Source organism: Homo sapiens, chromosome 7, assembly GCF_000001405.40.
Source record: "Homo sapiens chromosome 7, GRCh38.p14 Primary Assembly".
Classification (NCBI taxonomy): Eukaryota; Metazoa; Chordata; class Mammalia; order Primates; family Hominidae; genus Homo; species Homo sapiens.
The window spans coordinates 53,924,811-53,948,284 of NC_000007.14; the positions used below are offsets into that span (position 1 = coordinate 53,924,811).

Here is a 23,474-nt window from a genome sequence, read left to right on the forward strand (position 1 = left end):
TAGTTGCTTGATTCATAACTCTGGCATTTATTTCTCCCTTAAGGAAACTTTACTTGTATATTCAGTAGCCTTCTGGTGTGCTCCATTTGTAAATCTACTGTGTATGTAGAAATCAACATACAATAAATGTCTTCCTCCTTAAATGAGACCATTCTCTAAATACTCCCGACATCAAACGTAGGGTTCACCTCTGAATCACTCACCCACCAGGTTCAATTCTTAAGCAGGTTTTATTGTTTCTACAGCAAATATTTTCCTTCTCCATCTATCACTGCTATCACCTTAGAAGCCATTTACTTTAGCCTGGCCTATATCCTTACTGGATGTCAGCTTTCACACTTGACCACAATGATCCATTACCCATTTAAAATTACGAAACAGATTTATTACTTTTCTGCTTACACTTTTCCATTGACTTCCCAATTTGTGCTTAGAGGAAAACCCAAATTCTAACACATCACTGATGCATAAGAGGACTCTGCTTCTTTTCAGACCTCAGCTGCTACCCTGCTTTCTCACAGGCACATCTTCATGCTGCCTTTTTTTGGTTTTTGTTTTTGTTTTTTGATTTTTGAGATGGAGTCTTGTGCTGTCGCCCAGGCTGGGGTGCAGTGGCATAATCTCAGCTCACTGCAGCCTCCACCTCCTGGGTTCAAGAGATTATCCTGCTTCAGCCTCCCAAGTAGCTGGGACTGCAGGCGTGTGTCCCCACGCCTGGCTAATTTTTTGTAGAGACAGGTTTCACCATGTTATCCAGGATGGTCTCAATCTACTGACCTCATGATCCACCCACCTCAGCCTCCCAAAGTGCTGGGATTACAGGCTTGAGCCACTGCACCCGGCCTGCCTTTTTTATTGTTTCTTGAATGCACCAAATTTGATGGATTTTAGATTTTATTTCTTTTCCTAAGGTGCTCTTCCCAATGTATCCACATAGGGATCATCAATCAAGTCCCCTTTCTCCAAGACACCTTTCTCAATTGCCAAGTTATCTAAACATAACACATCATCCCCAGTCATTGTATAAATAACTCTTCTACTTCCTTATCCTGATAAAATTTTATTTATTTGGTTAGTTATCCCTAAGTATTTTTATTCCCCCACTAGAGTGCAAGCTCCGTGAGAACAAAAGCCTTTGCTATTTTCCTCCCTGTGCTTTATCCAGAGCCCAGAACAGGACCTGGCATGCAGTGGAGGCTCAGTAATGACTTGTTTACTTGGATAAAAATGAAGGAATGAAAGAATGATTTGGTTCAGTTTTGGACTGGAATTCACATTAATTTTCTCTCCATTTTCTGCTTTTCTAAATGACAGTGTTCTTTGAACACATCTTGTGTTTTATCTACTGTTTTAAATTGGGCATGTTAGGAATAAACATTTCTGTTAGTCCATAGATTTCAAAGTTATGTATGAGAAGCCATACAAGGTTCAGACTGAGAGAAATAGAAAAGACTGGCTGGGTGTGTTGGCTCACATCTGTAATCCAACACTTTGGGAGACCAAGGCAAGAAGATTGCTTGAACCCAGGAGTTCAAGACCAGCCTAGGCAACGTGGCAAGACCTGGTCTCTACTAAAAATTTACAAAATTAGTCGGGTGCAGTGGGGCACAGCTGTAGTCCTAGCTACTCAGGAGGCTGAGGTAGGAGGGTCGCTTGAGCACAGGAGATTAAGGCTGCAGTGAGCCTTAATCATGCCTCTTCACTCCAGTCTGGGTGACAGAGCAAAATCGTGTCTCTGAAAAAAAAAAAAGACTTAGAAATTTAAAACTTAGAAATACCTCCATTGGCTGGCTGTGTTTTTGAAGTAGGTGTGGCTTTGATTATATGTAACTTTTTTGTATTAGAATAAGGAATAAATTTAAATTGTATTTTACAAAGAAAGGCATTGATGCCTGTGTGTGTGTCTGTGTGTGTGTGTGTGTGTGTGTGTGTGTGTGTGTGTGCGAGCACGCCAGGCAGCCATGAATTAACAGCATCCAGTGTTTACTGTTGTGTATGACAGCACATACTCTGGTCCCACAGTGGGAAAATGGCACTGCCATGCAGAGGGAGATAATCACATTGACGGGCAGCAGTGATTAACCTTGAGCTGGGTTTGTGGTCTGGCTGTGTCTGCTCCAGGGTGCTGCTCCTGGTGTCATGGGCATGAACGGTAGAGAGCCTGAAACTCATGTGCTGAAAAAAACAGAGACAAGAAACAACCTTGAGAAAGGGAGTCCATGCAGTCTGGTTTGATCTCCAACCTGCAGCTCTTGATTTCACTTACTTAAACAAAAATTGTTTTATGTAAACAAGTTCAGCTTGGATATGAGGGCTTTGCAACCTAAGAGCCATGAATAACTGAGAAATTGTTAGAAAGGCTTTGTGTGTGCCCTAAAAATCTGGATTAGCAACTTGCCCAATATGCTTTGCATCTCAGAATATTTGTTTATTCATTTGTTAAATGGCAATAATAATACCTACTTTGCTTTTTAAAAAAGATTAAATGAGACAATATGTACAAAGTGTTTACCAAAGCACTCACCTTTCCCCCTAGAAATGCTTAGTTTGTACCTCTACTAATACTACCAGCACCAGAACCACAGCAACAGAACTGCCCTAGCCTGTGCAGTGTCACTGAAAAATTTATCCACAGACACTCCGACTTTTGGGTAGTCCCTCACTGACTCTCAATATTTGTTGACTGTACTTCTCCTCAGACAGTTATGTGTACAGAGGATTATAATATTTAACAGATTTGACTTCATTAGCAAGAGTTAAACACCAGGTGTTTATTATGTTGGAAAAGTCAATGTTTGAGGACAGAATTGTCTATCTTTCAACCTGTTATTATTGCATCATAAATAGAAATGAAAATAATACCACCTACCACTTAAAAAATGGCCATGAATTTATTCTTCGTAATTGTTCAGTTCATCTACAATTGTTTCAGTACTGTGAAGATATACCATAAATAGCCACTAACTAATGACAAAGTATTTTATAAAATTATTTTTCTCTCAAAATTCCTCTTAAAAATGTTAACTAATTTTCAAGTGTGTTTGATAATTGGTGAACTGCCTCTGCTAATAAATTCAGTCTACCATGAAAAACATCATAAGGGTAGTACATTGGCTATTTTCATAAATAGATGAATTTCATACTTCCCCACTAATAAAATACTTGTTATATATTTATTTCACCTTCATTTATTGATATTTTCTTGGGCATATAACAGTAACTTAAAATATGAATCAAGAAAATAATATTTGACATTCTGCAATAAATTATTTTAAAGAAAAATTGTCATATCTAATTTATTCTGTATCCTTATTGAGATAGTTTGACTTTTCTGCTACAAAGTTGAAGACTGTTGGTTTAAATTCAGCATTAATAATTACTGAACTTACTGAAAGATGCATTGCTTTACATTATTCAGCCAATAATACAATGTGGGATATTTCTCTTCTACTAAGCTACGGAAAGTATGCCACATTAATTTTCTGCTTATTTAAGGACCAAGTGCATTTAAATGCATCCCACATTTCTCTCTTCAAAGATATGCTTTGACAGTGTATTATAATGTACAAAACTTTTGGAAGACAACAAAAATGACAAAGTCCTTGTGAAATAAAGGCTTCAAGATAACTGAATCATGCCTCATGAGAGTAAACAGAAATATTCGTCTAATCATTCTGAAACTATCATTTCTCTTTTTTTGCTATTAGATTCTATACGTGGTAACAACGTGCATTGACAAAGTTTTATTTGCCAATTATTCTAACAGTAATAAGACATCTTGCTGAGTAACTGGCAATTGATCACAGGAGAGTGCTAGAGATGTGTCCTGCTAAATGTGATAGCATCTTATTCAGAACCAGAAAATGCTGCAGACATTGATGTCAGCTTTGAGTTTTATATTTGTTTGTATTTTGCTGTTAAGAGTTAACATGGCATTCAGTAAGCTAAGAGCACTTCCATTATATCTTGAAATCTCATTAGTCATTTTTAGAAAAGTGGGGTTTATTCTTGTGAATGTATTGAGGATACATCAAGCCTTTGCTGAGTGCTATGAGCCATAATAGATACTGTTCTAACGTGCTTAAAGAAAACATAGCATTTATGTTGAAATCTTTAAGATATGCCATTACTTTGTCAATTAAAAATGCCTCTTCTCAAGGAGATAGTTATACATTCATTAATATAGCATTTGAAAAAAAGTTTTCCAACAAATGAATAATGAACAAGAACTGAGATAAAGAAATATTCTTGTGGAATTATCATATTTAATATATTTTATTCAACAAATATCTTAGAGCAGCAGCTGAGTTCTAGGCACAGCCTAAGGGACAGAGACTCAGCAATGAAGGAAACAGGGGATTGAGGGGGAAACCCCACCTTTGGGGACTCACATGCATGATCGCAAAAGATACTTGACTGTTTGGGATGCGTGGTGTTGTGTTGAATCATGAATGATGAATTAATATAAAGTAAATACTTAATCCTATAGATCACTTGAACTATTGAGACTATTCCTAAGATAAAGTTGGAGAAATGTATGTTAAAATACTAGCAAATCAATAACTCAGTATCATCGAAAAGTAAAATCTCTACTTGCACATTTGATTAACTCATGTTTATTCATTATAATTTAGATTCTATCCACTCTTAAGGTAAAATAGGCACTGAAATATGCAAACCTGATTAATTACAAATTAAAGAGAAAATAAGAATAATGGGATTGCTAGTATTAAGTATTTTATAAATGTTTAATTTATTTTGGCTTTAACTTTATTTTCATTTATGATCTGACCAACATAAAGTGATTTTTTAGGACATAAACATGTGGGTAAATGATAAATTAGTCGTGTAAAATCATATCAAGAAAGTAAAACAAATATGTGAACTAACAATAACGGCAGAAATCTAAAATTAAGAGATGCAAATATGTTTGATTTTTTTTCCTGACTTTTGTCCAAATGTCACATATAATATGACCCATATAAATCAATTGTTTTTCTTAGGACATCATTAATAATGCAGGAGAAAATATATGCAGACTATGTGGCTGGATAACGTTCCCCCAAAGATATTCATAACCTAATCCATGAAACCTGTGAATATGTTGCCTTCCATGGCAAAAGGAATTTTGAAGATGAGATTAGTCTAAGGAGTTTGGAAAGGGGAGATTATTCTGGATTACCTGAGTGAATCCAATGTAATCACCAAGGTCCTTACCTGAGACAGGCAGAAGGTCTCAGTCATAGTGGGAGAGTTGACGATGGTGGCAGAGGCTGGACTGACGTGAGGAGGTGGCCACGAGCCAAGGTGTGTGGGCAGCCAGCCACTGGAAGCTGGAGAAGGTAAATCTCTCCCGTAGAGCCTTCCAGAGAAGCACAGGTCTGCTGACACCTTAATTCGAATCCCTAAAACCCTCTTCAAACTTCTGACTTTCAGAACTGTAAGGTAATAAATTCATGCTGTGCTAGGACATTAAGCTTGTGGTAATTTGTTATAATAGCAATAGTCAACTCACACACTATTTAAAAAAATTTATACTCCAACCCAATTACTCTGCATTGTAATTTTTGTTACTCAAATTTGTTATTTATTTTCTGTAAGGGATGCAGCTCTTAAACAATTGTAAATGGTCATTATATTCTCTGCCTTTGTTTACTTAAATCATGTTTAGTTATCAATGCTTTTGTATACTTAAATCATGTTTCGTTATCAAATTAGGTGTAGTATTAATGAAACATTGATTCTACTTAACAGTATTAGCTGTGAATAATTTCCATTTTCTTAGCATAAAACAAAAAATATATTTGGAGAGGGTATTTTAAAAAATAGAAGAAAATATGAAGTTGCAGAAACATCTAGAATTTATTATTTATAAAATGAAAGCAAAACTCCTAAGTCTGGTAAGACACTGCTTATGCCAAATGATGCAAGCTTGAAGGGTACATGACAAGAATAAAAATAGCACTGAAACTGATCAAGACATTTGATTTGATCCTTTTCTACTCCAAATTCAGCTTAAACAAATCAGCTTGACCTAATCTTTGCACAAAATATGACTGCACTTTATTATTATTACTATGAAAATGCCCCTGATACCCTAAAAATCACTATATAAGTGTTGCCATTTTCATTCCACCTTGCCTATGCTGTAAGGGATCATTCACTGTAATATCCAATAGCAATTTCACTTTCTTGGAAAAGCTAAAACTGATACTGAAGTATGAGCTACCCATAGTTTCTTAATATCCTTCAACTTTCACTTTGATATTTAGACTAAATGATTCTAAGAACAATGACATGTTTTTGTATACAGAGTAAATAAAAATCCCACATAAACTATTTTAAATTATATTAAGTATTTAATATAAGCTAAACAGATTCAAATCCTGAGGGTGTGCCAGGGCCCATCAGGCATACTGGACTGGTTATCAGAACACATTTTTAATCCCCGAGGCAAGCCTTTTTGACTGCACCCCAAGAACTCTAAATGTAGATGCAGGACAGTTCCAAGAAGAAGGAGGAATCTGAAGCTAGGCATCAGGTTAATTACAGTTGAAATTGTTTTCCAAAAAAAAAGATTATCTCAACTTCACATTAAAATATATGCAGGTAGATAAATATAAAAGACAAAAATTGGCAATAGCACTGGAAAAATGAAAGAATGGAGTTAGATCTGAGAGATGGGAGATATTTGAGATGGATACATGGGCACCCCAGTGATTCCAGATAAACAATGAGACATTGAAACAAACTAAGAAGTGGAAGAAAAACATGATTGTAACTAACTTCTGCATTCCCCAGAATTCAAATAAAATAATTTCTGCATATTTTCAAAAACATGTAAACTGCACTGCATCCCTTTTGTGGAGATACATGTTTTATGGTTTGATCACAGTCATGCAGGTACTTACTTCATGTTCATCATTTAAAGAAGGAGTCTTTTCAGTTGTCGCATACAACCTAGTTTTGAATATTCTAATTGGGCAAAATCTCTTATGCCTGCTTAAGTGACAGTTTGTACCTCAGGGGCATAATCTAAACAGACAAAGTCACCAGCTCTTTCAAAGTTAGTATCATTTCAGGTGTTGCATGCACGGATTGCATTATCCATTTGGGAGAGGAAAATTAAGGAGAAATTCCAGGAATGATGAAGGCATCTGGAGCAGAGGATAGATTGGAAGGCTCTATCTTCCTGTCAAATTTGGGCCAGAAAGTTGAAGAAGTCTGGCCTGCAGAATCAGAAAATCAGGAGGTGTACTGAATACATGACCCAACATTCCAAGGGGTCAAATCCATGTTGCATTCAGTGACAGTCTCTCAGCCTTAGAACTGCCAGGAGGTGCTACCATGGGTCATGGAGTAACTACTTTCTTCTGAAACAAGGGTACAGATGATAAGGAGTCACTACAGAATTTTTGCAAAATAGGTTAAAAAACAAACACTTTTTTTCAAGCTGAATACTAAAATTATATTAATAATGAAAATATAATGCTGAATAGAAAATGCCAACATAGCCAGAGTGATAAATTAATTCTATAGACCAACAAGTCAAACATAAGAAAAAGTTGGAAAAATTTACCATACCAATTACATTTTAATTGTAGTAGTATATCTCCGTCATCTCAGCCCAAAAACTCCTTAAGCTGATAAGCAACTTCAGCAAGGTCTCAGCATACAAAATCAATGTGCAAAAATCACAAGCATTCCTTCACACCAACAATAGACAAGCAGAGAGCCAAATCATGAATGAACTCCCATTTACAATAGCTACAAAGAGAATAAAATACCTAAGAATACAGTTAACAAGGGATGTGAAGGACCTCTTCAAGGAGAACTACAAACCACTGCTCAAGGAAATAATAGAGGACACAAACAAATGGAAAAACGTTCCATCCTCATGGATAGGAAGAACAAATATCGTGAAAATGGCCATACTGCCCAAAGTAATTAATAGATTCATTGCTATTCCCATCAAACTACCATTGACATTCTTCACAGAATCAGAAAAAACTACTTTAAATTTCATGTAGAATCAAAGAAGACCCTGTATAGCCAAGACAATCCTAAGCATAAAAAACAAATGGAGACATCATGCTACCTGACTTCAAACTATACTACAGTGCTACAGTAACCAAAACAGCATGGTACTGGTACCAAAACAGACATATAGACCAAAAAGGAACAGAACAGAGACCTCAGAAATAATACCACGCATCTACAACCATCTGATCTTCGACAAACCTGACAATAACAAGCAGTGGGGAAAGGATCTCCTATTTAATAAGTGGTGCTGGGAAAACTGGCTAGCCATATGCAGAAAACTGAAACTGGACCCCTTCCTTACACCTTATACAAATATTGAGTCAAGATAGATTAGAGACTTAAATGTAAAACCCAAAACCATAAAAACCCTAGAATAAAACTTAGGCAATACCATTCAGGACTTAGGCATGGACAAACTCCTAAAGCAATGCAATAAAAGCCAAAATTGACAAAGGAGATCTAATTAAACTAAAGAGCTTCTGCACAGCAAAAGCAACTATCATCAGAATAAACAGGCAACCTAAATAATGGGAGAAAATTTTTGCAATCTACCCATCTGACAAAGGTCTAATATCCAGAATTTACAGGGAACTTAAACAAATTTACAAGAAAAGAAACAAACAATTCCATCAAAAAGTGGGCAAAGAATATGAACAAACACTTCTCTAAAAAAGACATTTACACAGACAACAAACATATAAAAAAATTTAATATCACTGATCATTAGAGAAATGCAAATCAAAACCACAATGAGATACCATCTTACAGTCAGAATGATGATTATTAAAAAGTCAAGAAACAATAGATGCTGGCGAGGCTGTGGAGAAAAAGGAAGGCTTTTACACTGTTGGTGGGAATGTAAATTGCTTCAAACATTGTGGAAGATAGTATGGTGGTTCCTCAAGGATCTAGAACCAGAAATACCATTTGACCCAGCAATCTCATTACTGGGTATATACACAAAGGAATATAAATCATTCTGCTATAGAGACACACACACAGGTATGTTTATTGCAGCACTATTTATGGTAGCAAAGTCATGGAACCAACTCAAATGTCCATCAATGATAGTCTGGTAAAAGGAAATGTGGTACATATACACCATGGAATACTATGCAGCCATAAAAAGGAATGAGATTGTGCCCCTTGTAAGGACATGGATAAAGCTGGAAGCCATCATCCTCAACAAACTACCACAGGAACAGGAAACCAAACACTACATGTTCTCACTCATAAGTGGGAGGTGAACAATGGACACAGGGAAGGGAACAACACACACCAGGGCCTGTTGTGGGGTAGGAGGCAATGGGAGGGAACTTAGAGGACAGGTCCATAGGTGGAGCAAACCACCATGGCACACATATACCTATGTAACAAACCTGCACATTCTGCATATGTATTCCAGAACTTAAAGTAAAATAAATTTTAAAAAAAGAAAAAGAAAAAACTCATCATACCATTAGTTTTTAAATTGTAGTAATACAAGCTTGATAATTTTAGCATATCTCAACGTAACATGCATCCTATCAGATGATCAATACCTAGATCTGCTTTTAAGTGAAAGTCTGCAATAATTTAATACAGTTTTTAGAAATTCATGGTAAAATGCCTTTCAAAATGTGAAAAATATATTTCCTTAAAATACATTTGGTTGGCAATCCCATTACTGGGTATATATCCAAAATTTTAAAAAATGTTCTACCAATAAGAGATACACCCACATATCCATCGCAGCACAATTCATCACAATAGCAAAGTCATGGAATCAACCTAGGTGTCCATCAACGGTGGATTGGATAAAGAAAATGTGGTAAATATAACTGTGGAATACTTACACAGCCATAAAAATAGCCTGTCCTTTGCAGCAACATGGATGCAACTGGAGGCCATTATGCTAAGTAAATTAACTCAGGAAGAGGAGAACAAATACTGGGTATTCTTACTTACAAGTGGGAGCTAAATGTCCAGTACTCATGTACGTAGAGACGGCAACAATAAACACTGGGGACTACTGGTGGGGAGGGACAGAATGAGGTAAGGGTTTAGAAATTAAGTGTTATGTGCTTACTACTTAGGTGACGGGACCATTCGTGCTCCAACCTCAGTGTCACACAATATACCCAGGTAGCAGCCCTGCACATGTATCTCCTAAATCTAAACAAGAAGTTGAAAAAGGGGGAAAAAAAAAGTACATTTGTTTGGAAATCACACCAACCAACCGTATTTTACCATTGAAATGAAAGTTATTTTAAAATTTCTGTTAAGGAATGAGGAAGAGATACAGAAACAAAAAATGTATTCACTCAAGAAGATCAAGTGAAAAAATTATTTAATATGGAATAATGTACAAGTAATTTGTCAAATGTAATAGCTTTTTCTTATGTCAGCAATAATCAGTTGATAGCTATTGTGGGCAGAGTTTCCATGCTGATAAAAATAAATAAATAAATAAATAAAATACACAAGGTAAATGGAATATATAACAAAATAATCAACATGAAATATAAAATAATGAAATATGGAATGCATAAGAAATATATACAAGTATATTGAGTGTATGAAAGGAGGTAGCTAAATTGAATGGCAAACTATAATACTACTCGGAAATATTGAATACTAAAAATGTGGGAATTGTTTCTAAATTAGTGTATGGATTTACAAAAATTTATATTGTTATTCAACCACGTTTTATGTTAATGATTCAAAGCTTTCATCATAATACCTTACCACAGTTACCTATTCTCCCAAGAGTTAGTCTATTTCAAAGCCATTCATTAATATACACAAAGCTTTATTAAACATTTTAAATTAGTTGTTCTTCACCTTAACTCATAATTAGATTCCAGTGAGAATTTTTACAAGTCCTCATTGTAAAAATTGAGAGACCAGCTCAATCAAATTAGAAATTCAGCATCAACAATGTTTAAAGCTTCCCACATGATTCCAATGTACAGCATGGTTAAGAGTGAATTTTGGAAAATTATTTTTGTATGACTGCTTTTATTTTATTTGGATAAATTCCTAGGACATAAATTGGTTTTGCAAAGAGCACACTAATTTTAATGTATTCTTATGACTTTTCAAGAGGATATACTGATTTATAATTCCCACAGTTAGAGAGTGAAAGAACTCATTCTCTCACATCTATCAACATCTATTGAACTGTTTTATCATTTCTTGTAGGCATTGTGAATTTGCTATAAGAGCAATGCTAAAATACATGATGCTAATATAGACATCTTTATTTGAAATATTTGCATGTCTTTTGTAAACTACCTGTTCAGAATTATGCCAATGTTTACTCTAGCATATTCCTCTTTAACATGCTACTTTAAAGGCTTCCTATAATATTAAATCTTTTTAATCTTTTGATTTTCTCCTTCTCTCTTTCTTTTGCATTTAAATTTTACTAAGATATATATGTTATATCTACATTTTAAAATTATCAGTAATTTTCTTAAAGGAGTTGATAAATTTGTGATTACCTCTACAGCACATATTTGTTTATGTATGTTTTATTATATTTCTTTCATTATATTAAGCTCTCTGCATTTGTATGTTTATGATTTAACTTTTGCAGTTTACTATTTAATACATCAGGAATTTAATCTTTTGTGTTTTAAATGTGAGCCTTGTATGTGTTTTTTTTTACTCCAAACAATAAACTTTCATAAGTAGATTATTTTGATCTAACTTTATCCATTGATTTCCAATGCCATTTCTATAATAGACCCAAATTTGTACTTATATCTATGTATGCAATTTTCATTTTATTCTATTAAGTAGCTGATTATTCCTTGAACTAATATTGTATAATTTTAATAATTAGAGCTTTATTCTATTATTATTAATTGGTAGTAAAATTTTCCCTCTTTATTCTTTTTTTAAGCAGATATTGCTAATTTTAGATATCTTTTTTATAAATGTACTTTAGAATGATTGTGGCTCACTGAAAAATTAAAATCCCTTGAAATTCCATTGAAATACATAAAATATATGTGTATTCATACCAAATTAAATATTTCCACTTAGAAACTTACTACGTTTCTGCATATATTCAAATCCCACTTTAAAACAAGTCAAATCTTATAAAGTATTTTGGTTTTATCCTGTGGAATATTTTATATATATATATATATATATATATATATCTGGATATGAATATATTATATAGGACAAAAATACATACATATATAATTTTAGTAACTGTATGTGAAATACTTTCTCCCTATTATAAATTAACCAATTAGTTCTAGGTAGTAAGGAAGGTATTAAAGTTTGTGCATTTATTTTATATAAGTGACATTGCTGAGTCTTCATAATAGATCTAATAGGATTTCAGTTGTTTTGGTTGTGGTTGTCTTCCAGGTAGAACATCTTGTTCATACACTGTGTTGCACACAGCCCTCAACAGGGCTGCAACCATCCTTCCCATTCCTGGGGCTTCTTCTATTATGTGATTTTGGTATTTCTCCTAACAAGAAGGTGGGTCTATGTCTCCTTCATATTAACCTGCAGGCTTGGGACTCCCTTATAACTGGAAAATATAGCAGAAGTGAGGCTGAGTGATCTCTGAGGTCAGTCATAAAGAGTGGCACTATTCAATTTTGTTCTCCAGAGTCCCAGGTCAAAACGGGTGAGCAATCTTGGCTGCTCTGAAGCCACCATGCTGTGACCATACAGGTCAGACCTGAGACTGCACCAAGAGAGGTGCCATGTCAGTCCCAGTTTTAACACTTAGTTCCCAGGGGATGGTTTGGGGACTATTTCCTATACAGCAATAGAAAGCAGATCACCCTATTGTAGGAAATAATGATGTTTGCTTCTTTCCTAATATCTTATTTTAAATTTTTATATCTCTGTATCCTACTTTATTTGCTAGAATATTTGGAATAGCGTTAAATGATATCAGTGATGGTGGTCCTCTTCTTTGTCCTGCTTTTATGCAAATGCCAAAAATATTGTACCAGTAAGCATTATGTTGACTGTAGACCAAATTTTAATAGCTGGTGAAACTTCTGAACCACCACCTGGGAAACCAAGCGTGGCTCAAGGTCAACTGAAAAGCTCCATCTTCTGAGGTGTAAGCAGGCCAGTGTGGCATGCAGCACCATTGACAGGCAATGGGTGGTCAGCTCCTCAAGTGTCTTAGGTACTGCATCATGAATGAAATTTCACATGTTGTTCATATCAACCAAGCCACCTATACGTGAAAATGCATAGGAGGTGCAGTAAGTCAGAGCAGAGTCCTGGGATCGGAGCCCATGTCTAGTATCCGAGATCAGGAGTTTAGATTAATGAAAAATGTGTTTAACAAAACCAAAAAAAAAAAAACCCCACAAATGTTAGTTTTTGGAATAATTTTGCCATTTATCGTTATTTTTTAGAAACTCAATTTGTGTAGGACATGCTAAATTATGTTCAATTTGTTAATTTAGAGGACACAATTATTGCTTAGTTCTTACTCCTCAAAATGTAGTTAGAATGATTAAAAAAAAAAAATAAACCACCATCTGAGAAACCAGCCGTGAATATCTGAGCCCATAATGTTAAAGCAAATGCCATTGGGTCATTATACATGGCCATAGGGAACTAAATTAACTTCTCCTTGATGAGAAATCTGACTTGTGATTTCCTCAGAAGAAAAGTTAATTAGCACAATCTTATTAAAATATGTTCTGATTTAAAGGAATTCAGTGGTGTCAATATATCTATCCAACTATATCTAATTATTCATTTATTTTCATAACTCAACTTGTAACAAAATGCAGATTTTTGACTTGCAAATATAAATGCAAGAAACAAGGTAAACTTTAATAAATGAAATAAAACTGAGGTAGAAAAAAGATAACTAAAGGCATAATACACAATGAAGACTAATGAATTCATGTAGTAGTGAGGGGTTATATGAGTTTGGTTCTGAAATTTCTACAAGCAATAGTTTATTTTGAACAACGTGTTAAAAAATTTTGAAATCTGATCGATATTGGAATTATTGTTTTTGCCCAAATTACTGATATTAGTTTCATCCTGAGATTTGCAGACAGACCAGAATGAACAGGACAGGAGACTGTATGGTGGTCTGTACTGAGAACTTAAGAAATATTGCCTAGTGACCCACAGGAGATTCATAATTTTCCTCAGTCTAGTTATGGAGAAATGATAAAGTTAATTCATGTGAATAGAGTTTTTTTAAGAAATAAAAAGCTATATGCCCACAGAAGAGGATATTATTAGTTACATATTGATGAAGAACAAAATCTTTAAATGGTGCGTTATTTCTGCCAGTTACATGGTCCATCAGGCCATGATTGTCTGTAACTGAATTGTCGATTTCACTGAAAATGAAAATCAAACTGGTAAATTATAATGTGAAGGCTAAGTAATAATGATAGATCATGTGGTTCATGTCTCCACACTAAACAGTGCCACATTAATTTTAACTCTACCATTCATATACGTAGCAACTTCTGCTGAGTATGTGGGTAAGGAGATAGGAGACGTGACTGATTCCTCAATTAAAAAAATATTGATTGACCAAATGACACAAACTATGTTAAAGGATTAGTTAGTTAATTTCACTAGTTTTCTAATTTATCAAGTATTTATATGACAATGATCCTAGGATCACTTCTTTAATTTGTTATGTTGATATACTGATAATTAATTCTTCGTATATCTCTTCTTTATAATGCATTTTTTTAAATATTGTTTTTATTTGATTTCCTCATTTGAGATATATTGTTGCACTTTGACTTTTAAATTATTTCTGAAATAAGTAAATTTTAAATCCCTCCTGAAGATAATTACAAAGATTAGAAATAGTTTATTGGTTTTCTTTCATTTTTTTTGTTTTTGTTTTTTTTGAGACAGAGTTTTGCTCTTGTTGCCCAGAATGGAGTGCAATGGCATGATCTTGGCTCACCACAACCTCTACCTCCCAGATTCAAGTGATTCTCCTGCCTCAGCCTCCTGAGTAACTGGGACTCCAGGCGTGCACCACCACGCCTGGCTAATTTTGTATGATTTAGTAAAGATGGAGTTTCTCCATGTTGGTCAGGCTGGTCTCGAACTCCTGGCCTCAGGTGATCTGCCCACCTCGGCCTCCCAAAGTGTTGGGATTATAGGAGTGAGCCACTGCGCCCGGCCAGTTTATTGTTATGTATTTTACATGCAATTAGGAGCTATTAAAGTTATTTAAAAGAAAATGTGTAGATAATTTGGATATCTTATATAACCACCCTAATATCTTATAAATTATGCTCCTGTTTATTCAGAAACTGGGAATACCATTTAAGTTTAGAATTCCAAAGAATCAAGAAAAACTACCTAATTGCTAAAAATAGAATTACTTTTTTTCTCTCTGTCATCCTTAACATTGAAAAAGCCCTCTTTGCTAATCAAATGGTTTAAGGTAAAAAGTAAAGGAATGGGAAAAGAGAACACATTCTAGAATTAACACATTTTATTAGGCAAAGTGGCCTCATTCTTTGTTTCCTTTTGCTTCTTCCTAAGCAATGTGGTTAAAATTTTTCTAATGTTTGGGCAGCATTCATTTAATTGGTGGTTGGTTCCTGGTTTACATCTTAAAATGTCCCAGGAGGGGACTGGGTATTCTCCTTTCTCATCTAGAGTACATCTTCCTGTCTTTGAAGGAAACTTTGTTTTCACTTGATAATTACAAGTTTAATCTCCGTAATCAGAGTCTAATGCTTAATTTCAGATTTCTCTTTATTTTTAAAATCTCTCTTTCTATTTCTTTCTTTCTTCTTCTTTCTGTCTTTTTTCCTTTTCTTTTCTTTTTTTTTTTTTTTGCTAGAAATCTGCTTAGGTCTGCACATTTACATAGTATCCTGGCTCTTCTGTTCATATTCCATAATTTCAAAGTAAGCTTATAAAATATAAAATCAGTACCCATTCCTTAGTGACATGCCTCCAAAGAACAATGCATGCAAAGTAAAAAACAGTAACTTTACAGTGAAAAAAAGCTGGAAGATATGACATTAGCCAGCGGACCACGGTTCATACCACCAATGACAAAATGTGTGAATGTGATATGACAAGAAGAACACTCAACTTCTGTGATTGTCTTTCCCAAATCAATAGCCTCAGTCTAATAATGGTAAAATATTAGATGAATCCATACTGAAGGACATTCTACAAAATATCTGACCAATATTCTTCAAAAGTATCATAACAATAAAAGACCAGGAAAGACAGAGTAACTGTAACAGACCAGGGAAGGGTGTTAACTGGACTAAATATGTCACTCCAAAACTCATACGCTGAAATCCTCAATCCCAATGTGATGGCATTAGGAGGTGAGGCCTTCAGGAGCAAGATGGTCATGAGAGTGGTTATGACACTGGTGCATTTATAAAGAAGAAGAGACAGGACCAGATCCTGCGCTGTCCACCATAGGAAGATACAATGTGAGAAGACAGCTATCTGCAAACCAGAAAGTGTCCTCACCAGATGCCACATATTCCAGGGCCTTAAGCTTGAACTTCCCAACCCCGAGAAACTTTGTTTTTTAAGACACTCAGTCTCTGGTACTTTTCTTATGAAAGCCTGATTGGCAAAGACAGAGCCTAATGAAAGATAACAAGGGAATACAATGCTTCATCCTGGAGTGCGTCCTGGGACATCAAAGGACACTAGTGGAAAGGACTTTAGTGGAAAAAGTGAAATGTGAATAAAGGCACTAGTATTGCATTACTATTGTGCCAATGTTGATTTCTCAGTCTGATAAATATTCCTGGGTTATGTAAGATGTTAACATTAAGGGGAAGCTGGGTGACATGTTTACAGAAACTCTGTACCATGTTTGCAACTCTTCTGAAAAACCAAAATTATTTCAAAGCGAAAGCCTGAGATTTCTGGAACGGAGTTTACATTTTTTCTTTTGACATATCCCACTGGATGCCTCATGGGTACTGAAAAGTAAGAATGGTCCTAAACAAACTCCTTTCTTTCCTCCATTATTAGATGCTGTACAGATACACTCCTGTTTCTCAAATTCATCCATCTTATGGTTATGCAAATCTATTTTTCTAGTTTTAATTCTATTGCTCTTCTGACTCATTTGTGGGGTGCTTTTCCTTTTTTCTTTGTTTTCATTTTTGGGTTTTTGAGATATAGTCTTGTTCTATAGCCCAGGTTGGAGTGCAGTAGTGTCATCTCAGCTCACTGCAGCCTGGATCTCCTGGGCTCAAGCCTTCAGCTTCCCACCTCAGCTTCTCAAGTAGCTGGGACCACAGGTGCATGCCACCATGCCCAGCTAATTTTTTCATTTTTGTGCAAACAGAGTTTAGGCAGACTGGTCTCAAACTTCTGGGATCAAGCAGTCCTCCTTCCTCAGCCTCCCCAAATACTGGGATAATAGATTGTTCCCCCATGCCGGCCCCTTTTCCTTCTTTCAAACATTAAATGTGAGTTACCTCCAGGGTTCTATATTAAGCTGTCTCTTCACTGTATGTACAATTCCTGAATGAACTTGCCCTCACCGACAAAATGAACCCCCAATTCATTATGATGAATCTCAATTGTCTCTATGCAACCCATGATTATGTGGTGAGTACATCCAGTGGACTACTGTGCATTTACATTAGGACACTATAGGTACATTAATTCAATACAACCAAGAGAACTCAAAAATCTTTCCCTGAAAATATTCCTAAATCTGTGATTTCTGACCCAGAATGACATTTCCTGAGTGACATTCCAGCAGCTCAACAGAGAAATCAGATGACTGCATGGTTCTCTCTCCACTAAATCTCAAGACGATACTCCACATTTTAGTGATTCTAACCTCACCCCTTACAATAATTATTACTTTTATTTTACGTTACTTTATTTTATTTTATTTTATTGAGATGGAGTTTTCTCTTGTTGCCCAGGCTGGAGTGCAATGGCACGATTTCAGCTCATTGCAACCTCTGCCTCCTGGGTTCAAGCAATTCTCCTGCCTCAGCCTCCCGAGTAGCTGGGATTACAGGTGGCCACCACTGTGCCTGGCTAATTTTGTATTTTTAGTGGAGACAGGGTTTCTCCATGTTGGTCAGGCTGGTCTGGAACTCATGACCTCAGGTGATCCGCCTGCCTCGGCCTCCCAAAATGCTGGGGTTACAGGCGTGAGCCACCATGCCCAGCCAATTATTACTTTTAATAGAATACTTCTTGGAGTAGTTTTCATTTCATAACAACATTGAGAAGAGGTACAGAGATTTCTCGTGTGTACCATCTGCACCCACACACACAATCTCTTTCATTAACAACTTACCCACCAGAGTGGTACATTTGTTACAATTGATCAACCTACATTAACACATCATTCAAACCCAAAGTCTACAATTTAGATGAGGGTCACTCTTGATGTTGTGCATTCCATGGGTTTGGACAAATGTATAATGACATTTTGTATTTACCATTATAGCATCACAGAGAGTGGTTTCCATGCCTGAAAAGTCTTCTGTGCTCTGCCTATTCCTCCCTCCCTCATCCCTAACTTCTGGAACTACTGAACTTGTTATTGTCTCTGTAGTTTTGCATTTCCCAAAGTGTCATATATTTGGAATCATACAGTATGTAGCCTTTTCAGATTGACTTCTGTCAATTAGTAATATAGATTTAAGTTTCCTCCATGTATTTTCATTACTCAATAGCTCGTTTTTCACTGTTGAATACTATGTTATTTTCTGAATGTACCACCAAGGTTTAATTCATTCATCTACTAAAGGACATGTTGGTTGCTTCTAAGTTTTGACGTTTATGGGTAAAGTTGCTATAAACATCCATGTGGAGGTTTTGATGTGGACATAACTATTTAACTTATATGGGTAAATACCAATGAATATGATGGTTGGAAAGTGGTATAAGAGTGTGTTTAGTTTTGTAAGAAGCAACCAAATGTCTTCCAAGTAGTAACACCATTTTGCCTTCCCATCAGCAGTGACTGGGAGTTCTTGTTCCACATCCTTGCCAGCATTTGAAGTTTCTGGTGTTCTGAATACTGGTCATTCTAATAGGTATGAAGTGGCTTTCTATTTTTATTTTATTTTGCATTTCCCTGATAACATATGACATGGAGCATCTTTTTATGTGTGTATTTGTCATCTGTGTAACTTCTTTGGTGAGGAGTCTGTTGAGGACTTTCACCCAATTTTTAATAGAGTTGTTTTTCTTGTTATTGAGTTTTAAGTGCTCTTTGCATATTTTGGATAATAGTCCTTTATCAGATATGTAATGATATGTAATTTACAAATATTTTCTCCAGGCTGTGGCTTCTCTTTTTATTTTCTTAAAAATGTTTTTTACAGAGCATATATATATATATATATATACACACACACACACACATATATATTTAAAATAAAGTTCAGTTTATTAATTATTTGTTTCATAGATTGTACCTTTGGTGTTATATCTAAAAAGTGCCAAATCCTAGGTAATCTACTCCTATGTTATATTTTAGGAGTTTTATAACTTTGTGTTCTACATTTAGGTCTATGATTCAATTTGAGTTAATTTTAGTGCAGGGTGTAAGACCTGTGTCTAAATTCCCTTTTTTTTTGCATATGAATCTTCACTTCTCCCAGCCTCATTTGTTGAAAAGTCTATTTTTTCTTCATTTTATTGCCTTTTCTCTTTTGTCAAAGATCAGCTGACTGTATTGATGTGGATCTATTTCAGGGATACCTAGTCCATTCCATTGATCTATTTGTCTATTCTTTTGCCAATATTATACTGCCTTGATTACCAGCACTCTAAAGTAAATTTTGAAGTCCAATAGCGTCAGTCCTCTAACTTTGCTCTCCTTCAATATTGTGTTGGCTGTGCTGGGTCTTTTCCCTCTTTTTATATACTCTAGTGTCAACGTGTGGATACCCACAGATTAACTTGTTGGGATTTTTATTAGGATTACATTGGCTCTATATATTCAGTTGGGAAGAACAGATATCTGACAACAATGATTTTTTCTTATCCAAAACATGGAATATCTCTTCATTTATTTAGTTCTTTTATTTCTTTCATAAGAATTTTGTAGTTCTCCTTAAATATCTCTTGTGCATATTTTGTCATATACAAACACTTTTTTGGGGGGGCAAGTGCTAATATAAATGGTATTGCATTTTTCAATTTAAATTCTACTTGTTCATGCTAGTATGGCTTTCAGTAACGGCTGATTAATTACAAGAATTTAGATCTTGATTTTTTTCAGATTTTCTATCCAGAGGATTATGTCTTCTGTGAATAAGGGCAGTTTTATTTTTTCTTGCAAATCTGTACACTTTTATTCCCCCACCCTTTTTTTTTTTCTTACATGAGCTGGTACTTCCAGCATGATATTGAAAAGATTGGTAGCAGGAGATAGCTTTGCCTTGTTCCTTATCTTAGAGAAGAAGCTTTGAGTTTCTTATCATTAAATATGATGTTAGCTATAGTTTTCTTGTAGATATTATTTATCAAGTTGAGAAAGTTCCCCTCTGTAGATTCCAAATTCTATCCCTAGTTTACTAAGAGTTTTTATCATGAGTGGTTGCTAAATTTTATCACACTTTTTCCTGTATCTATTGACATGATCATGTAATTTTCTTTTTTAGTCTGTTGATGTAGTGGATTATATTAATTGACTTTGTACCCAGCCTTGTCTGAGTACAGGTAAAATAGTTCTTAGCAGATGGACTATTTGTTAATCTGTGTCATAGTGAAGAACATTAAATTATATAGAGAAATTTGAGTCAAAAATATTTGGGATTACTGACTGAGAAGAGCGTGTATTAATTGAGAAAATTACAAAAAAATAGGTAATTATGCCCAACTAATATTGGGAGTCATACATTTGCAGTGGCCAAAGCCTGAATGGTTATTTCAGTTTTTTCATAAATATTCAGCTATGAAAGTGTTTAGGTTTTTAAGATATATGTCAAAAAATCATCAAAGTGGTAAAGTCAAGAGAATAGTTAGAATATCAGATTATGCAATCTCAACTTGTGGAGGAAGAGGAGGAGAAAATCACAGGGGCAATGGAATGAGTATCTTCATGAAGTCCTGGGACATGTTGAAGTAGGATTGCAGCATTTTGAAGGTTGAAGAAAGAAGAATTAGAGGACTGAAATACTTAGCAATTTAACATCTAAAAGGTGGAGTAAACTTGAAATAACAGGATCCACAAAGTGGCTCTGATAATAGGTTTAGAAAGTGCAATTTAAGGATTTCTAAATGCTGGAGATGTTGGATATTTAAGTCAACAAGCTTGTTCAAGAATAAAAGTGGAAAGTAAGATTGAATATGAGAAAATGACCAAGAGAAAAAGTTTGTATGAAAAATAAAAATGTATAGGACAAGGTGATATTTCTGCATGAGCTTGTCTAATTGATACTCAATTGTGTCAAGAACCACTCAGTAGAGGACAGCACCATTTCCTACCAGGTGGTACATGGAGGGTTAGAGAAAGCAGTCTTGTTTCAAGCAAGGTGTCAAAATGTTTCAGCTTAAGTGAGGAGATAAGTCTCGAATTTGCTGAAGAGGTGATAGTTCAGGGAAGTTTGTTTAGAGTGAAATAACCATTCCATGGGACATATTAGAGATTGGGAGTAAAGTTTACAGCTGGGAAATGAGAAAGAGAATACACTTGGATGATAAAATGACTAGTCCTTGGAAAGCATATCATTTGGACGGTGACCAAGGGTTACAGTCGTAAGAGGCATGAGCTAAAAAACAAACAAACAAACAAAAAACTACTTAGGTAAATTTAGTATTTTTTTCTAGGCTCCATGGATTACCTCTACTTCTTCCTGAAATGCGAATCCCTAGGAATCACACAAATGCTTTTCCTGGCCTGTAGCAGTGGCCCAGATAGCTTTAGTATCCTAGTGGGTTCCAGAGGAAAGTCTCTGCTGCTTCTGAGTGGTATTGTGGACTAGAAGAACGAGATAAAGTTTTGACACTAGCCAGGAAATGATTTGGCAGTGAGGAAGTAGAGCCAAGAATATCTTTAAGCCCAGAGAAATATTGAGAAGAGAACTGCTTCTCCAACCTCATCTGTTTCTTGCTCCCGTCTTCTGCAGAGAGCACTGGTTTCTATGCTTTATGAAAAATGTCTGCCATTTGCAGTTACTGAACATGATTTGATTGAATGTTCTTATGCTGATTTCTTCCACACTGCTGCCTCTAAATTTCTTCACAACATTATTTCCTGACTTGCACCCAGCCAACAACCTCTAAGAGAGTGAATCCTTCCTCTGTGCTGCATTTCTACCTTGTACAAGGTTTTAGCCGCCATTCCCACGTTGTCCTGTGCTTATTTCTTTGTATGACTCTAAAACATAAGCAGGGGTGATGGTGTAATAGAGGGTGTGAAGGTTCGTGGCCACTCACACCATTGTGAGTAAAGCTTTGCACATATTTTCAGTCTACATTTTTGCTATTATCCCTCCCAAAATTATAGAGCAGTGCACAGAATTATTACCTATACATGAAAGAAATGTCTCATCAAAACCTATAAAAAGAATTTTATATTTTTCTCTTTCTCACATGTTGTAGATCGTTACCCATTTAATGATAATTGTTCTTCCATTATAACATGAAGCCATCTGTTCCATTTCTATAGAGATCACTAAAAATACCACAGTAATAATAAAAGTCAAACACATTTTTGTAATTCTGAGCTACTGCAAATTTCAATTTATATATGTGTGTGTATGTGATTTTATAAAGCGGTTAAGGATAAAAAAATTATTTTCGTAGTACATCATGTGATTCTGAGTCCCTTTTTACTGAAAAAAAGCCCACTTACCAAGAAAATAGCCAGAAGAAGCATTTGACCAATTGCCCAAGGATTTAAAACTGCTTTAAAAATGGTGTGAACATAAGTGTTTGGTGGCAAAAATCATTAGCGCCTGAACTGTGAAGAGTCTCGATGTATGAGACCGAAGAACAGATACGTGAGTGGAATGTCTCCCTGGAGACAGGCACTGATTGTTGCAAGTGACAAAACAATCTACCACTGTAGTTTATAGACTGCTGTACAATAATCAGGATTGAATTCCATGAAACAAAAATCCCATGAATTGTAAATATTCAAGGGAGCTAGGGGCAATGTGAATACAGTGATGAGAGTCATCTGGTGCAGGTCGGATGCCAAATATAATTCTTAGTGAGGTCACTGCAAGAAATTGAAAGACTCTGTGTATTTAGGGCTACAGTTTAGAGAATTACTTACAAAACGTCTTTCTTTCTGATTAACCTGGCTCAAAATACCATTCTAGAATCTAATTTTAAATAGATGTCACTTGCTTGTGGAGTAGGAATTAATTGATTAAAGCAAACATTGTATAAGATTTTAAATCCTGTGCATAATGCAATGAAATACAATTTTGCTAACTGCTTTTTATACATAAACAGATCGTTCCTCTACTTTTGTGTCTGAG

At 35.2% G+C, this 23,474-nt stretch overlaps 1 long non-coding RNA gene across 1 annotated transcript; it reads right to left on the minus strand.

The window, feature by feature from the left end:
• Window positions 1-1,965: 1,965 nt before the first annotated feature.
• LINC02854 (long intergenic non-protein coding RNA 2854) lies at window positions 1,966-22,994 on the minus strand. The gene is made up of 3 exons (XR_001745019.2): window positions 22,841-22,994; window positions 5,218-5,438; window positions 1,966-2,175 (listed from the first exon to the last, which is right to left on the minus strand). It is a non-coding gene; the product is annotated as a long intergenic non-protein coding RNA 2854 (long non-coding RNA).
• Window positions 22,995-23,474: the final 480 nt, after the last annotated feature.